Below are 18,799 nucleotides of genomic sequence, written 5' to 3'. Positions count from 1 at the left end.
TAAGTGGATGAACAAACATTTGTTGAATATCTGAAATGTGTGCATTTGGTTTAAAGCTTTTCTGTGTTCCCAATTCAACTGAAGGGACAGTATACAAATGACAATGTTCAAGAACAGCTCAGCTGTGTTGTCTAAAATGTATGAATAGGTAAGAGCTGTAGACAATAGGATCAGCAAGGAGATCACTACAATAGTACTGACCATATGTGATAAGGGTCAGAATTTGGTATCATACAGTGAAAGTTGAAATAAAAGGAAAATGAAAGCAAGGTTTTAGAAAAATGAATAATTGACAGGCGATTAATTGGTCAGAGAAGTCAAGCAAGACTAGAGAGCAAGATGCCTCAAGGATTCTGAGCCTAGCTGCCTGGAAGAAAGATAGCACCATTTGCCAAAATGAAGATTTTAAGGAGCTACTATATGGGGCAGGAGTTTGTGAATTCTGGCAGGAAGCAGAGGATCATTTGAATAAAGTATTTAAAAGATGATTGAAGAAGTGAGATTAGCTCTTGGGAAGGGCTGTCAGGACTAGAGACAGTCTTGAAAGTCATGCCACTAAGAGAGGACAGTAGAAATTATGAGAATGAATGAGTTCTTGGGTGAAGAGTATGTAAAAAGACAAAAGTAAAATCTAGGGTGATCCCTGGGCCAGAGGTGGTGGCTCACAGCTGTTATCCGAGCATTTTGGGAAGCCAAGGCAGGACGATCGCTTAAGGCCAAGATTTTGAGACTAGACTGGGCAATAGAGTGAGATCTCATCTCTACAAATTAAAAGAAAACTTAGCTAGCATGTGGCATGTGCCTATAGTCCCAGTTACTCCAGAGGCTGAGGCAAGAGGATCGCTTGAGCCCAGGAGTCCAAGGCTGCAATGAGCTCTGATTGTGCCACTGCATTACAGCCTGGATGACAGAGTGAGAGCTCATCTCTATTAAAAGAGACAAAAGAGTGATCTTTGCATTTAGGAGGTGGGAAGAGAAGAAAATGCCAATAAAGAAAATGTAAAGTAGTCAAGGGAAGGATGAGAACCAGAATTGTGACATGATCCAGAGACTAAGAGAAAAGAGAATTTTAAGAAAAGAGCAGTCACTGATAGGAAAGGATGTGGAGAACTCAGAGAGCTTGGACAAGTTGGTTTAGATATTTGGGATCAAATGAAAGGGATTAAATGAATGAAAGCTTGAAGGGTCACCACGATCACCCATCAGCTTATCAATTTGGTATGTGTTTCTGTTTGTTTTCTTTTTCTTCAAAGAAAAGTAGATTGTTCAGGTCTTCAGCAGAGATTAAAGCCTCAACGGAGGTAAAAAAATTGAAGAGGATAAAGAAAGGAGATGAATGAGATAACAAGTTCCTGGAGGAGGCAGGATGGCAAGAGGATAGAGAATAAAAATGAGAAGTCTAGCTTTGGAAAGGAAAGTGAAACAACTGTTCCTCTAAGTCAGAAAGGAAGGATGAGGGCACATAGAGAAATATTCTCCATGGTATCGCTTCTCTACAACAGACCAGAGCTGTATTTGGAGTATTATTCAGCACCAGGGCTCTACTGTAACTTAATTCCCATGTTGGCCAACCCTGAAATAAGGTTAGGTCTAGTCTAAACGAATCTCTTATCTATGTACTATTATCCAACCATATTGACACGGAACCTTATAGATGTACTTTCCTTTTTTTATGTGAATATACTGTGTCCTTTTTTTAAAAACAGAATGATCATCCAGCTAAAACTTATATGACTCTCCAGACCCAAAGTGATATTTTTTAAAAAGTCATCACATATGAATGCAGAAATGTCCCTGATTATCTCAAAAAAAAAAAAAGAAAATGATAAAAAGCAGTAAGCAAATGAGCTATGTTCAGTGCATTTGGTTGAGAGATTTCTGAGAAGGTTGTTTACATTTGCTTCTAAATGGTGATCTCACTAATAAATTTCCTGTGGACAGAAAAGAGGCCATTAAAACAGACATTTATTCAATGTCTTACAAGTTGCACATAGGTTTCAAGTTATCATTACAGAGAGGCCTAAGGGCAAGTCAATTGGGCAGTGCGTATATTGCCTAGCGGTCTTAAAGTCTTAAGCCAGCTTGCAAAGATCTGATGAAGCCTTTTCTCAAATGGATGTTTTAAGATACATCAGTTTCTTCACTAGTCTTTTTCTGACTAATTTTTTGCTCATTTTTCTGGAATCTTGAATTATTATAAATTTTAATGTGGAAGTGCGCCAGAGCGATGCCATGAAGTCTGTTGAGTCAGAAGTATTAACCCAAGTGACAGATTTTCTCAACGGGGAGACAGGGACAGACTGGGGAAGAAGGGAATGGGGAATAGGGCCCGGGAGGGTCATCAACATTGTTTATTCATATCAAGAAAAAACTGGCCAGGTGCGGTGGCTCATGTCCATAATCCCAACAATTTGGGAGGCCAAGGTGGGAGGATCACTTGAGCCCAGGAGTTTGAGACCAGCCTGGGCAATATAGTGAGATCCCGTCTCTACAAATTCTTTTTTTAAGCCAGGTGCAGTGGCTCACACTTGTAATCCCAGCAATTTGGGGGGCCAAGGCAGGCAGATCACTTGCGGACAGGAGTTTGCGACCAGCCTGGCCAACATAGTGAAACCCCATCTCTACTAAAAATAGAAAAAATTAGTTGGTCGTGGTGGTACATGCCTGTAATCCCAGCTACTCAGGAGGCTGAGGCATGAGAACCACTTGAACCGGGAGTTGGAGGTTGCAGTGAGCTGAGATTGTACCACTGCACTTCAGCCTGGGTGACAAAGTGAGACTCTGTCTTAAAAAACAAACAAACAAACAAAAAAAGCCAGATGTGGTGGTGCATCACATGCCTGGGGTCCCAGCCTGGGCAATAGAGGGAGACTTTGTCTCAAGCAAAACAAAACAAAACAGAAAGAGTAAATTTCACCCTCCTGGTTTCTTTCTAATGTTTCCAGTCAGTGGGCTTGCTTTAACAAGTTCAAAGTTAGCTTAAAGCAATAGCTGCAATTTTTATTTCAAAATCTCTTAGCAATAATAATGCCTCCGTTTGAGGGAGATGAAGTGAAACAAACTAGAGGTTAAGAATCAGAACATCTGAATTTGATTCTAGGCTTGGATCACTTCCTCTTTTGTAACGTCAGGCCAGTGGTTCTTCCAGGCATGGGTAGACTGGACATCCTCCCTAGACGGTGAGATGAGCACCCAGCGGCATCGCCGTCGGCAAATCACTTAACCATTGTGACGTTCCATTTCCTTAACTCTATATAGAGGGAATGGAGCTCACTAGGGGTTTGGATTTCTCACTGCATATTAAAAACACCTGTGGCATCTTTTCTAAATACTGATACAGGGCCCCATCCCAGACCAGCTGAATCTGATCTCTGAGGATGGGGGATCACGCAATGGTATTTCTTTTGAGATGCTCCATCCAAGTGGTTCTAAGGTATAGCCAGAGTTTATTGTTCTTCAGGTTGAAGGTTGCTTTATACCAACCCTTCAGCATTCTAAGACTCGCTGACTCACCCCAAGGCTCACATGCCCAGGAGGAGACAAGAATTCATTCAGATGGCTTCATGCTCACTTCATGCCCACAAAATAAAAATAAAAATAAATAAGAAGGCATGGCCAAAGCAAAGTGTGTGCTTTTTTCCCTTCTTACCATTTTTTTTCAACCTAAAAAAGTTTTTGTTGAGGTATAACATTGGTACAGTTTGATGAATTTGTTTGATTGCTTGTTTTTGAGATGAGGTCTTACTATGTTGCCCAGGCCGGTCTTGAACGCTTGGGCTGAAGTGATCCTCAAGGGATCCTTGAGCCCAAGAGTTCAAGACCGGCCTGGGCAACCTAGCTGGAACTACAGGTTTATGCCATCGCACCTGGCTTGACTTTTTGCATATATACACACCCATGTAGCCACAACCCAGATCAAAATGTAGAGTATTTTCAGCCCCCACACCCCTCAGACGCTGGTCCTACTATTTTGAGAGGCTATAGGAGGACAACAGAATCTGGCAGATGCCTGTGTCCAGTGCCTGACATGTGATTTTCTAATTGTACTGTTGCATCCCACAGCTGTTCAAAATAAATACTTGGATGCAATTTTCTCATTTCTCTTGCCATTAGGTATGATGCAGAATTTGTTTTGGCTCCTGCTTGTGAAGTTATCGCACATGCTCTTTTTGTTCCTTTGGAAATCACATGCCTAATATTCCCTTTGTGTCTCAGAGATATTAATTGGATGAGCCCACTCCCCACTAGCTCTTGAGGGCAAGAACTAGTCCTATCTTTCTCACTCCTGCTGTATCTGCAGCCCCTATATGCTCATGAGCATTTGTTGCACGAAGGCTGAATAGAAGCATGGTATATGGGTAGTATAAAAAACAGTAGATGACATATTCTGTGACTTTAAGAAGTTTTTAATCATGTATATGGTGGAGGTATATTCCAAAGTTTGGTTGAGGTACATTCCAAATGCACTGGAAGCATGCTGTGAATAATTATAAAACAAAACATCGTTGGGTTCAAAATTACTTAATTTTGACTCAAATTTCAATAGACTAAAAACTTACAGGGGACAAGGAAAGCAAAATGAAGAAGTAATCAGAATGGTAGCCTAATTAAAGGAGAGTGGTTTCGTGGATGATGAGCTCAGGTCTTGAGAGATGCAGAGAGAAAAGACAAGCGAACACCCAGACTGGTGCAAAGATTCATGCAAAAATGTAAGGGCAAACATCTTGCAACACTTATGAAGTGAGGTGAAAGCACACTGAGTTGGATACAGAAAGGAGAAAATAACAGGGGAAAGAGAGAAGTTAAAAAGAAAACCAGTTGTTGGAGACCTTAAGTAATAGGCTCTAGTTTTTGGTAATGAATCGCTGGATGTGCTACAAACAGCATATGCAGGAGCTTGTTCTGGCAGCTGTGCAGAAAGCAGAGAGGAAAGCTGGATGTACAGAAATGATTAGGAGGCTGCTTTCCCAATCCAGACATGTACCAAATTGTGGGTGGTAGTAAGCAGGTACAATTAGTAATGGTAGTAATGAACATGAGAAAGAGAAGATAAAGGAGGTCAAGGTGTTCAACGTCATATTAAATATGCTGGTATTAGTCATAGAAATGGGAAATTTGGGACTGAGTGACCACCTAAGGGAGAAACTGACAGTCATACTCAGCTATTCTGTTAGCTGAGGGCATGTGAAATGCCTGGTGTTTGAGCAACACCAAAGGTAACATTCAGAATGACTGGACTGCCGTGAAACAAAAAGGCAGATAATCCCGCTCATTCCATTGCCAGGTCTGGGATATTTTGAGTCAAAAAGGCTAAAGTTGAGACTACTTAAACCCCACTTATTATCTTCTAGACATGTTTAATGTATTCATACACATGCCCTCCAGGAGACTTATGAAAGAGACAATTAGGATGCATATAGAGAAACGGGTGGGGCCACCACTTTCTGGCCAGGTAGATTGAGCCTTTGCAGCTTTAAGGTTTGGCTGGCATCTTGTCTGCAAACATTTGACTGTACCTGATTTGGTGCCATTAAAGGAAGACAACAGAGCTTCTTACAACTGCACATCAAACTTTAATAGCACTACAAGTTAGACAGTGGATGATTGTGTCCATTTAAAAGGTGCCAAATGGTTGATAACTGTGTTTATGTCTTGTTTCTAGATATGCAAGCAAAGATAAACACAATTGAAATGCATTCGTTGGGTTGGGAGCTGATCACCGGCTAGAATTTATAAAACCTTTGCATGCCCTAAACAGCATTTATTTCATAATTGTCCAAGTGCATAGCTGGTGGTCCTTTTTCCCTAAATTATCAAATACCAAACATTACTGGAGGCAGAAAAGCAGAATGCAAGGGGCAATCACAAGAATGGTAAACCCATTCTCAGACAGAGAGTGAGAGAGTAAGCTCTGCCTCTTGGGTATTCAAGCAGTGAACCATGCATGTGAAAAGAATTTAGCCCAGACAGGCCTCACCAGGCTCTCCAGGGAACATAGCGTTCTCACAGCAGCAAAGAAGGAAACACAAGAGTGACGTGGCCTTTTCTGCCAGGAGCATCTACAGTAAATTGTTCAGGTAATTTATGTCACTAAAGTATACAGTTTGTCATCTTCCAGACAGTAAAACAACACAAACACACACACACACGCATATTCTTTTAAAAAGAAAGGAAAATATAAAGGAGTCAAAATAGAGCAAATAATAATGCTCTTTGCAATATGAGTCTAAATGCATAATGTTGCCTCTATGATTTTTTAAAAATGAAATGAAATATTCCCAGTATAATATGTTTGTGCCCATTCTGCAGATATTAAAAAAGAAAAATATTTTCTTGTCACTAAAATATTTTAGTGCATTTTTAATTTGGGTATGTAATTTCATTTTGGAGGGCAACACCATAATAAATGGAGCACATAAATATAATATAATAAAATTCAGAGTTGTTGCTTTTTCATGATTACATGATAGCCAGGTACCCACTTTTGTGTAGAAAGCTACTTTGATCAATTGCACTGATTAAATGGTTGTTACACAAGTTCACAATAGGTTACAAATCTTGATGCACATAGAGACTTAGAGAAATATTAATCGTTTCAGACATACCTTGCTTCTGTAAGTCAATCTTAGATCCCAGTTGGTGAAAAAAGAAAGAAACAAGGAAAAACTGTTACAGTTCAAACAATATTGTGGGAATTGGCAAAAATGCAGCAAATGCCAAAGGAAATCCTGTGAAGGCTCTTGAGCCAAAGGCTGCATAACTGAAGTTGGAACTGGCCCCAAGAAATGTTGCACAACCACATTAAAAAGTGGACAAAGGGACAGGCACGATGGCTCACACCTGTAATCCCAGCACTTTGAGAGGCCGAGGCAGGTAGATCACATGAGGCCAGGAGTTTGAGACCAGCCTGGGCAACATGGTAAAACCCTGTGTCTGCTAAAAATACAAAAAAATTAGCCAGGCATGTGGCACACCTGTAATCCCAGCTACTCAGGAGGATGAGGCAGGAGAATCGCTTCAACCCGGGAAGCAGAGGTTACAGTGAGCCGAGATCGCATCACTGCACTCCAACCTGGGTGTCAGAGCAAGACCAAAAACAAAAAACAAAAACAAAAAACCAAACATAAAAGTGGACAAAGAATGCGAACAGACACTTTTCAAAAGAAGACGTACATGCAGCCAATAAGCATATGGAAAAATGTTAATTATCACTAATAATTAGAAAAATCCAAATCAAAAACCACAATGAAATACCATCTAACACCAATCAGAATGGCTATTACTAAAAAGTCAAAAAATAACAGATGCCGGCAACGTTGCAGAGAAAAGGGAACTCTTATACACTGCTGGTGGTAGTTTAAATTAGTCCAATGTTGTGGGAAACATTGTGGCAATTCCTCAAAAAACAAAAAACAAAACTACCATTCAACCCAGAAATCCCATTACTGGGTATATACCCAAAGGAATATAAGTCATTCTACCATAAAGACACATGCATGCATATGTTCATCGCAGTACTATTTACAATAGCAAAGACATGGAATCAACCTAAATGCCCATCAATGGTAGGCTGGATAACAAAAATGTGGTACATATACACCATGGAATACTATGCAGCCACAAAAAGAGTGAAATCATGTCCTTTGCAGGAACATGGATGAAGCTGGAGGCCATTATCCTTAGCAATCTAACACAGGAACTGAAAACCCAATACCGAATATTCTCACTTACATGTGGGAGATAAATAATGAGAACATATGGTGCTATGGTTTGGATCTGTGTCCCCACCCAAATCTAATGATGAATTTTAATCCCCAGTATTGGAGGAGGGGCCTGATGAGAGGTGATTGAATTGTGGGGGTGATTTCCCCTTTGCTGTTCTCATGATAGTGAGTGAGTTCTCACAAGATCTGGTCATTTAAAAGTGTGTAGCACTTCCTCCTTCACTCTCTTCCTCCTGCTCCAGCCATGTAGGACATTGTGGCTTCCCTTTCACCCTTCACCGTCCACCATGATTGTAAGTTTCCTGAGGCCTCTGTAGCCATGCCTCCTGTACAGTCTGCAGAAATATGAGCCAATTAAACCTTTTCTCTTTATAAATTACCCAGTCTCACGTAGTTCTTTATAGTAATGAGAGAATGGACTAATACAGAAAAATGGTACTGGGAGTGTGATATTGCCATAAAGATATCTGAAAATGTAGAAGCAGCTTTGAAACTGGGTAGTGAGCAGAGGTTAGAACAGTTTGAAGGGCTCAGAAAAAGACAAGAAGATGAGGGAAAGTTTGGAAGTCCTAGAGACTTGTTAAATTATTGTGACCAAAATGCTGATAGTGATATGAACAGTGAAGGCTAGGCTGAGGTGGTCTCAGATGGAGATGAGGATCTTATTGAGAACTGGAGTAAAGGTCACTCTTGCTATGCTTTAGCAGAGACTAGAGACATTGTGCCCCTGTCCTAGAGATCTGTGGAACTTTGAACTTGAGAATGATTATTTAGGGTTTCTGGTAGAAGAAATTTCTAAGTAGCAAAGCATTCAAGATGTGGCCTTCAAGATGTGGCCTGGCTGCTTCTAACAGCATATGCTTATATTTGTGAGCAAACAAGAGATGATCTGAAACTGGAACTTACATTTAAAAGGGAAGCAGAGCATAAAAGTTTGGTAAATTTGCAGCCCAGCCATGTTGTAGAAAAGAAAAACCTATTTTCTGGGGAGGAATTCAAGCCAGCTGCAGAAATTTGCATAGCTAAAGAGAAGCCAAATGTTAATAGTCAAGACAATGGGGGAAATGCCTTGAAGGCATTTCAGAAACCTTCACAGCAGACCCTCCCATCACAGGTCTGGAGGCCTAGCAGGGAAGAATAGTTTTGCAGGCTGGGCCCAGGGCCCTAATGCCCTGCATTACCTCAGAACACTGCTCCCTGTGTCCCAGACACTCCAGCTCCAGCCATGGCTAAAAGGGCCCCAGATATGTCTCAGGCTGCTGCTCCAGAAGATGTAAGCCATAAGCCTCGGCAGCTTCCACATGGTATTAAGCCTGCATGTGCACAGAGGACAAGTGTTGAGGCTTCGTAGCCTCTGCCTAGATTTCAAAGGATGTATGGAAATGCCTGGATGTCCAGGCAGACGTCTGCTGCAGGGGCAGAGCCCTCATGGAGAACCTCTACTAGGGCAGTGTGGAGGGGAAATGTGGGGTTGGAGCTCCCACACAGAGTGCTCACTGGGGCCCTGCCTAGTGGAGCTGTGAGAAGAGAGTCACCAACCTCCAGACCCTGGAATGGTAGATCCATCAACAGCTTGCACCATGTACCTGGAAAAGCCACAGGCACACAACACCAGCCCATGAAAGCAGCCAAGGGGGCTGTACCCTAAAGAGCCACAGGGGCAGAGATGCCTAAGGCCTTGGGAGCCCACTCCTTGCATCAGAGTTGCCTGGATGTGAGACATGGAGTAAAAGGAGATTATTTTGGGGCTTTAAGATTTAATGACTGTCCTGCTGAATTTCAGACCTGCATAGGGCCTGCAGCCCCTTTGTTTTGCCTGATTTCTCCCTATTGGAATTGGTATATTTACCCAATGCCTGTACCATCATTGTATCTTAGAAGTAACTAATCTTCTTTTGATTTTACAGGCTCATAGTCTGAAGGAACTTGCCTCATTTCAGGTGAGACTTTGGACTATGGACTTTTGAGTTAATGCTAGAATGAGTTAAGACTTGGGGGACTGTTGAGAAGGAATAATTGTATTTTGCAATGTGAGAACAGGAGATTTGGGAGGGGCAGAGGCAGAATGATATGGTTTGGATTTTTGTCTCCGCCCAAATCTCATGTCAAAGTGTACTCCCCATTGTTGGAGGAGGGGCCTGGTGAGAGGTAACTGAATCATGGGGGTGGATTTCCTCCTTGCAGTTTTCATATAGTGAGTGAGTTCTCACAAGATCTGGTTGTTTAAAAGTGTATAGGACCTCCCTCTTCATTCTCTTCCTCCTGCTCCAACCATGTAAGATGCACCTGCTTCCCCTTCACCTTCCACCATGATTGTAAGTTTCCTGAGACTCCGCAGCCATGCTTCCTGTTCAGCCTGCAGAACCGTGAGCCAATTAAACCTCTTTTCTTTATAAATTACCCAGTCTCAGGTACTTTTTTTTATAGCAGTGTAAGAATGAACTAATACACATGGACAGAACGAGGTGAACAACAGACACTGGGGCCTGCTTGTGGGAGGAGGGTGAGGAGAAGGAGAGGTTCAGGGAAAAAAATAAACTGCTAGGTACTATGCTTAGTACCCAGGTGATCAAATAATCTGTATACCAGATCTCCAAGTTACAAGTTGACCCATATAACAAACCTGCACATATACCCCTGAACCTAAAATAAAAGTTAAAATATTAATTTTTAAAATAGAAATGTTGTGAATGAGGCAAAGCATGTCTAGATGCCTCCCTTCTTTCAGCAAGCATCATTTCCAGGATCTCCATGCATCTTCAGATTGTCTCTGTCTTAGCCATGTGCATCCTATCAAATTCTGGTGATTATAGCATGAAATTGGGGCACCCCTCCCCAATGTTGTAAGAGGGGCCAGCTATAGTCCTTCTGCTGGGGAGTAAGAAACATGATCTTGATCCATGTGGGTGACTTACTTATGATTTCTGGAAACATTGGTTTCCATGGCATGAAAATAAATTTGAGGTTCATTTTCAGAGTGACTACTTTCAGTGTTCTTATATGGTATATATATGTGGTAATGACCAGAAAAGATAAAAGTGTAATTACACATGACTTCATAACTATCAGATACAAGTATAGCTTTCTCAAAACAAAATACAGAAATGGCATTTTAGGAGGTGATGTGGGAAAGCAGAGAGCTGACATAAGGAAGAGCAATGGCCATGGGTGGATTGGGAGTATGGAGAGTGAGAACTAAATTTCAAAGGTCTTTTTAAAAAGAATGAAGGGCAAGGAAATGTGATCAGTAGACTGTTCAGAGGATCATTAGTGGAGGAGAATGAAAAGACAAATCACTAGGCCCTCTTGCCCATCAGGATCATATATAGTCTCTGCAACAACAAAGGATCGCTGAGAAAGAACAAAACATGCCCCTGTGTCCATTCATGTAAACACTTTCTCTATTACTCTTGGTTTTCAGGGATCTGTCTTTGTTTCTTGCTTCTGTGGAAAGAGTATTTAAGTTAAGGTAGGGAGGAATGTACCCTCTAAGCTTCAAGCTACAATAGCAGTATTTTCTCACTTTGGTATTTTTTACTTCCCTTGCATTGTCTTGGCATTTATTAGAGGGTAGGTAGACTGTGTAGGAGTGCATCCTTTCTTAAGGCTGAGAATCCCTCAGCAAACAGAGGTTGGGGAGTGGACGTAGGCTAAGGGCAAATCTATTGTTTGTTGGGATCTTAGTGTACACTAAGTAAAAGCTTACTAAGATTACTATTACAACTGAAAATAAAACACTCATAAAAGTAAAAATAAGTGACCAAACCCACTTTACAGTCACTGCTGTATGAGCCTTTCAGTGAGAATAACACTGGGCAGGTTTCAATGCTTGCCCATAAAGTTAAGGTGGGGAGGAATTTTCTAGCTTACACTTCATCAGAAGGGCCCGGTAGTGTATTATAAGTAATTCAGAGATATGCAAAGACCCATGCAGAATGCAGAGTAGCTCCTGACCTCATTATATGTCTAGATGTTCGTGAGTTCTAATTCCGCCTCTTACTGCTACAGACACTACTGTTCCAACTCCCCCATCCCAGCCTACACTCAAAGCCAGCCTCGTCCACAGCCACATAGTCTTTCGTTGACTCATTTAACAAATATTTATTATGCCTCTGGTATGAGCAAGGCACTCTGATATGCTTTGAGGGTATAAAGATGAAAAGACTCTGAATCAAGTGTGGGAGGGACATGTAAACCAACAATTAGAGTGCAGCATGATAACAGGCTATGAGGGGGGGATGCCCAAGGAGACCACACAGGTGGGGGTACCCAACTCAGCCTGAGGTGGCAGGGGAGCTGGGGAATTGCATTCCAGGCAGAGAGAGAGCACTAGAGGCAAAAACAAGCAGGGCTGGGTGTGGTGGCTCATGCCCATCTCATCCCCAGCTTGTTGGGGAGCTGGGGCAGGCTGATTGCCAGAGCCCGGGAGTTCTAGACCAGCCTGGGCAACATAGTGAGACCTCATCTCTACCAAAAAAAAAAAAAAAAAAAAATTAGCTGAGCTTGGTGTCTCATGTCTGTAGTCCGAACTACTCAGGAGGCTAAGGCAGGAGGATCACTTGATCCCATGGAGGCAAAGTTTGCAGTGAGCTTAGATTGCACCACTGCACTCCAGGCTGGGTAACAAAGTGAAACCCTATAAAAAAAAAAAAGAAAAGAAAACAAAGAGAGAAAGAAAGAGAGAAAGAAAGAAAGAAAGAAAGAAAGAAAGAAAGAAAGAAAGAGGAAAGGAAGGAAGGAAGGAAGGAAGAAAGAAAGAAGGAAAGAAAGAAAGAAAGAAAGAAAGAAAGGAAGGAAGGAAGGAAGGAAGGAAGGAAGGAAGGAAGGAAGGAAGGAAGGAAGGAAGGAAAGGAAAGGAAAGAAAGAAAGAAAGAAAGAAAGAAAGAAAGAAAGAAAGAAAGAAAGAAAAAGAAAGAAAGAAAGAAAAGAAAGAAAACACAAGCAGATAGGAGTGAACATCGTTTCTTGAGATCAAGCACAGTTACATGCAGAACAGCAACAGGAGAAAATGTCATCTAGCTGAGAGGGTCTTAAAGACCCTGTGCCTCTGAATATTTCCTCATTGACTGGATGCTTAAAACAGTCCCATCTCTGATGTCCTTGAGTTAAGGAACAGTCTCTCTCTCTCTCTCTCTCTCTTTTTTTTTTTTTTGAGTTGGAGTCTCACTCTGTTGCCCAGACTGGAATACAATGATCTTGGCTCACTGCAACCTCCGCCTCCCGGGTTCAAGCAATTCTCCTGCCTCAGCCTCCAGAGTAGCTGGGATTACAGGCATGCACCATCACACCTGGCTAATTGTTGTATTTTTAGTAAAGACAGGGTTTTACCATGTTGGCCAGGCTGGTCTTGATCTCCTGACCTCCAATGATCCTCCTGCCTTGGCCTCCCAAAGTGCTAGGATTACAGGCATGGGCCACTGCGCCTGGCCCAGGAACAGTCTCTTTTAATACTAAAATCTTTATTTGAAGAGATGAAATATATGAGCCTTATTAGCCACCAGTATTTTAGCTTAAATTAGCAAACCCACAAAGAATAAAATATTAGACAAGAAAGTGTTGGGGGAGAGAAAAAGAAAGTTAAGAATAGCCCAGGCAGGCCGGGCGCAGTGGCTCACACCTGTAATCCCAGCACTTCCGGAGGCCGAGGCGGGCAGATCACGAGGTCAGGAGATCAAGACCATCCTGGCTAACACGGTGAAACCCCGTCTCTACTAAAAAATACAAAAAAAATTAGCCGGGCGTGCTGGCGGGCGCCTGTAGTCCCAGCTACTCGGGAGACTGAGGCAAGAGAATGGCCGGAACCCGGGAGTCGGAGCTTGCAGTGAGCCGAGACGGCACCACTGCACTCCAGCCTGGGCGACAGAGCAAGACTCCGTCTCAAAAAAAAAAAAAAAAAAAAAAAAAGAATAGCCCAGGTATAAAAGGTTTACAGTGGGCCAGTTCATTAGGATAGCCAAAAGTGGGGAAGGTGATCCTGGATCCTTGAAGAAATCCACACCAACAGAGAAAAGGAGAGTACAGTAAGTCCCTCCTTAATGATGGGTTCTCGGGAACTGTGACTAAGTGAAATGACATAGAAGGTACAATGAAACCAATTTGAACTTAGGCTAATTGATATAAAACAGAGTTATGTTTAGAGCAAAACACTTTTTATATTAAACATAGAAATAAGTGTGGGCTACACATACATTTAAGAAAGAGTGATAAAATTAAGTAAGATAATTATTTACTTGCTTCTTCCAGTTCAGGGTTGCAGGTGGCTGGGCCCTGTCCCAGCAGCTCATGGCAAAAGGCAGGAACCAGACCTGGATAAGGTGCCATCCCATCACAGGGCACACTCACACCTCACACACACGCCCACACTCCCTCACACCGGGGCAGTGTGGACATGCCAATTTACCTAACAGGCACAGATTTGGGAAGTGGGAGGAAACTGGATCACCTGGAGAAAACCCACACAGATGTGGGGAGAGCTTGCAAACTCCACACAGATAGTGGCCTTGGCCAGGAATCCATTTTTTTTTTCCTCATCAACATTGTAACATTATTTGAAGACCTGCTGTATAATAAGAGAAAGCAAATGGCACTTTAACAACAAACTATGCGGTGATTGTCAGCTGTTTAGGGAGAGGTCATGGCACCAGAATGCCCTCGCCATACCCACTGACCTGTTGAAGGGAAAGCACTCTTCTCAAAGAAAGGTCTCATCCATGTTGTTCTAGAAGGTCTCACCCATTTTATAATGCTTGAACACAGGCTCAGAGTCATCGTCCATTCCTTCCTCCATCCCTCTCCCAGGCAAGTGGTCTGAAAGCAGTGCTTCTGAAGTTTAAGGAGCATATGGATCCCTTGGCGATCTTTTCCAAGCAGATTTTTATTCAGTAGATCTGGGTTGGGGCCTGAGAATTCGCATTTCTCACAATCTCCCGAGAGATGCTGAGGCTGTTGGCCCAGAGACCATGCTTAGAGTCACTAGGGTCTAGAAGGCCGTCTTCCCTGGCATGTCTCACAGCGGTCTTCTTGTCTCCATCCCTCTGCTACTGCCTAGTTCAGGTCCTCTATGACTCTCCTCTGGAGAATTGTTTCTAGGCTCAATCTATTTTCTATGCAGTCTCTGGGCAATATTTCAAAAAGTGAATATGACGTGTTACACCCTGCTTAAATCCCTTCCAAAGATCCCACTTGCCAAGGAAGTTATTTTGAAACAAAATGTTTTCTTAAGCTGAACTTGAAAATAATAATAATAATGATGATGATAACAATAATAATAATAGAGAGGGGGGTTTCCCAATGTTGTCCAGGCTCGTCTCAAACTCCTGGGCTAAAGCAATCCCACCACCTCAGCCTCCCAAAGTGCTGGGATTACAGGCATGAGACATCATGCCTGGCCAAATTGAACTCTTAATACAGAAGCTTTCCTGGAATCCAATGTTGAAAATGCATACAAGCAGCCCTGTTCTGGCCGAAGCTGAGGGGAAATGCCTGGGTTCTTTATTAAGTCTTACTTGCTCAGCATGCTCTGTTTCCTGGTACTAGCTTTGAGATACCTCCATATAATCCTAGATTCTGGTGACCCCTAGGACCTACTGTCCACTCCAGAAGCCATTTCAGGCTGAAGCCATCATATACCTTGAGAGAGGTTACTCTCATTTTCCTCCTCGGTAAGATGAATATAAAACTGCCTCCTTGTAGAGTTGATTTTGAAGGTTAAATTGGATCATGTGCTCAGCATAATACCTGGGACATAACAGGTGCTCAATCGTTGTTTGTTTCACTTCCCTCATAACATTGACTTAAAACTGCTTTCCAGCTGGGAGTGCTGACTCACTCATGCGATCCCAGCACTTTGGGAAGCTGAGGCAGAAGGATTGCTTGAGTCCAGGAGTTGGAGATCGGCCTGGGCAACATAGTGGAATCCAGTCTCTATATAATAAATTTAAAAAGTAGCTGGGCATGGTCCCAGCTACTCTGGAGGCTGAGGCAGGAGGATCATTTGGGCCTGGGAGGTGAAAGCTGCAGGAGCCGTGATGGCACCACTGGACTCCAGTCTGGGTAATAGAGTGAGACCCTGTCTCAAACAACAACAAAAAACATTTTTCCCTTGATGAATATAATCATCATGCCCACGTTATTGGAAGGGATAACATACTGGCCTTATTAGTGCGAGTGGATTTAGCTTAGGCTTTTTTCTTGTGGGCAGGCTTTGCTCTGGTTGGAGGTGAGGGATTACTGGAAGAGATGAAGAAGCAACCCTGAGCAACAGAGAGAGGGGATGGAGAGGTGGCCAGGAGGGTAGACGGATGGACAAGACATGGCGCCGAGGCTATTGAAAGGTGCACCAGTTTCACAATAATGCTTACCACCAGCCTGGTGCCTTTCATATTAATTAACATGCGATGCATAGAAATTTTGAACAAGTTGAAAATTCCTAGACAGTGATCTTTGCTGTATACCCCAAATGGCATGTGCACTCAAGGGCATCAAGCTTCCTAGGAAAGAGTTCAATCCTGCTTGCCTCACTCAAGCTGTTTCTGATGGCAACAGTTAAGGATGAAGCATGTCCCTTAGACCTCTAGAGAGGTGCCATGGGCCTGGGTACTGTCCCCTCTGCTGGAATATTCGCTGCTCAAGGGCAAACAGCAGGCAGCTGTCTTACTTTAGGTCCTCTTGTCCACATCTCTCCCTACCTTCTATCCCCAACCTCCTGCCTACCTCCCAGAATCCATGTGAAGTGCATCCCAAAAGGACTCTCAATACCCCGTCTCAGCTAACTGACTTGGGACCCCTTTCTAGAATTGTTCTTCCCTAATTCTCCACAACAAGCAGGTTGCACAACAGGTGGCAAGGTGCCCCCGGGCAGTCCAGAGACCTGGTCCAAAATATACACGAATGGGCTGTTTATTTGCTCTAAACAGGACAGCCTGTGTGAAACCTGAACCTTGTCTCCTAAAGGATTTTGGCTACTTGAGGTTCCTGGTGTTAGATCAGGAGCCAGACTGAGGGCAGGGTGCCCTCCCTGCCCTCCATTGCAAAGGTCTTTCCTCCTCAGGAAATCGCGTCAGTACCAGTCTGGGGCCACTGTGCAGGTCTTGCATTCCTGGGAGCCTACAGAACAGCCTCAGAAGGTCCTATCAAGCTGCGGTATCTCAAAGCCTCCTGCAATGCTATTAACATAAAACCATAATCTACCCTGCAGAGTTAATAATTAGTTACAATCGGTTATAAGCCAAACACATCCCCAGTTCCAGTTGACAACAGGGAGGCTGTGGAAATGCCAGCTGGCTGGGAGGTTAGCAAAGCAGGTGAATGGCAAATAGGGCAAAGTAAAGCATCCACCTCAATTTGCAGACTGCTGAGGTTGTGCATGCCAGGAGCGTTGCATTCATATCACAGACATTCCTGCAGTCTTGCTCTCTGCCCCTGGAAATGTGTTAGCCCTACAAATTTGCACACCAGCAAGAACTGTGACTAACCATATATTTTTTACACAACGGGACTCATTGCAACAATCTGCACAGGAATTCCCATGAGAAATAGCTGGCTGTCTCACTTCCCTGTTTGCTAATGCATACAGGATTCATTCGTCATATACCCTTGATTTAAGAATATATATACCTTGATTTAAGAATCGTTACTGGACAGCTAACTGATTCATTCCTAATGCAGTCCCGAAGGGCAGGGAAGAAATGGATGTCTTCTTTCAGGTCTCGGGAGAGACCTGTAAGTCCCAACCTCACTGAGTGTCACTCACCCTTAGTGTCCAAAAGGTTTAAAAAGGAGCCGTCTCTAAACACTTTGTTATCCATGGAGGGAAGTTGATATTGCAGAAATGGAAAGGTTTAGAATTGCCTTTGGTTATCCTAAGTAGCTAGCTGGAAAGACCATTTTGGCTACATCACCTCATATAGTGTCATTTACAAACAAATATGTTTTGTTCATTGAAAATAACATTTCCAGACAACTGCCATGTACCCCACAATGCACGAACATGTTTTCATTGTAATCATTTTATTATTTGTTTTTCTGAGCAGTATTGCACAAGTTCCTCCCTTATTAACTAAACAGAGAACCAAATATGTGTAGCCTTTACATGATGACTATTGAAATGGTTATTTCATTGGAACAATGAAAACTTTTGGTCTACTGGGGAGAAATGTCCCCAGGGTCAAAGGGAGGTACTGAGACCTTTGTCTCTGTCCTCAGCGGCTGCAGGTGCTGTGCCTTCTGAATTCGCCGGCCTGCTCACTGGGAGTGGGTCTTTCCCTCACTTTCAACTGTCACTTCTAATCCTCCTGAATGAGCGGAAAATGGAAAATATCAGGCTTGTTCAAATTATGTTTCACATAAGTTTTACTCAGCCTTCAAGTAAAGGGTTGAATAACTGAGTACATCACAACGCTGTTTAGTGCATTAATTTAGTAATATTGACTTTATACATTTGGGAATCTTCTTATTCTCAGCTCTCTTTTGGTACAGTTGAGGTTGCCAGACAAACTACCTCAGGATGGGTGTGAGGCTACTGTGCATTGCAGCTGGTTAATAGGTGGAACCTATTATTTTACAAGGCTGCATGGAAGTCATTAGGAGTGGTGAGAAGTTTAAGAGTCCCAGGTATAATTAGGAAGATAAGGACTCAGATATTCAGCTGACACTTGAAGAACCTGAGGTCTACATGCAGAGCCTCCAGCTTCCCCATTGCTGGAGGAGGAGTGGAGAAGGAGGTGGCACCCAGGGATGTCCAGCCCCAGACTTGGGGCCATCTGCACTGTGGGGTGGGGATGGGGATGATAGAAATTGTCATGCACTTCCTTAGGTCAAAAAAAAAAAAGAGAGGAAAACAAAATACAAAGCTTGTCACTCTTATATTTAAAAAAAGGAAAAAAAAAACACACAAAAAAACCCCAGGACTTTTTATTTTAGGATAAAGTCCAAACTCCTCAACATGTAATATAATTCCTGGTCTAGCCCATTTCTAAGCCTCTCTTTTCACCACTTCCCCAAATGAAACAATGCCACTCCCTCTTCCTAGAATGCTCTCCTTCCCCATCAACTGCCTCTCCTCAGTATCTCAGGTA

This window comes from Homo sapiens, chromosome 6 (assembly GCF_000001405.40).
Source record: "Homo sapiens chromosome 6, GRCh38.p14 Primary Assembly".
In the NCBI taxonomy this organism is placed as follows: domain Eukaryota; kingdom Metazoa; phylum Chordata; class Mammalia; order Primates; family Hominidae; genus Homo; species Homo sapiens.
This window is presented reverse-complemented; position numbering follows the sequence as displayed.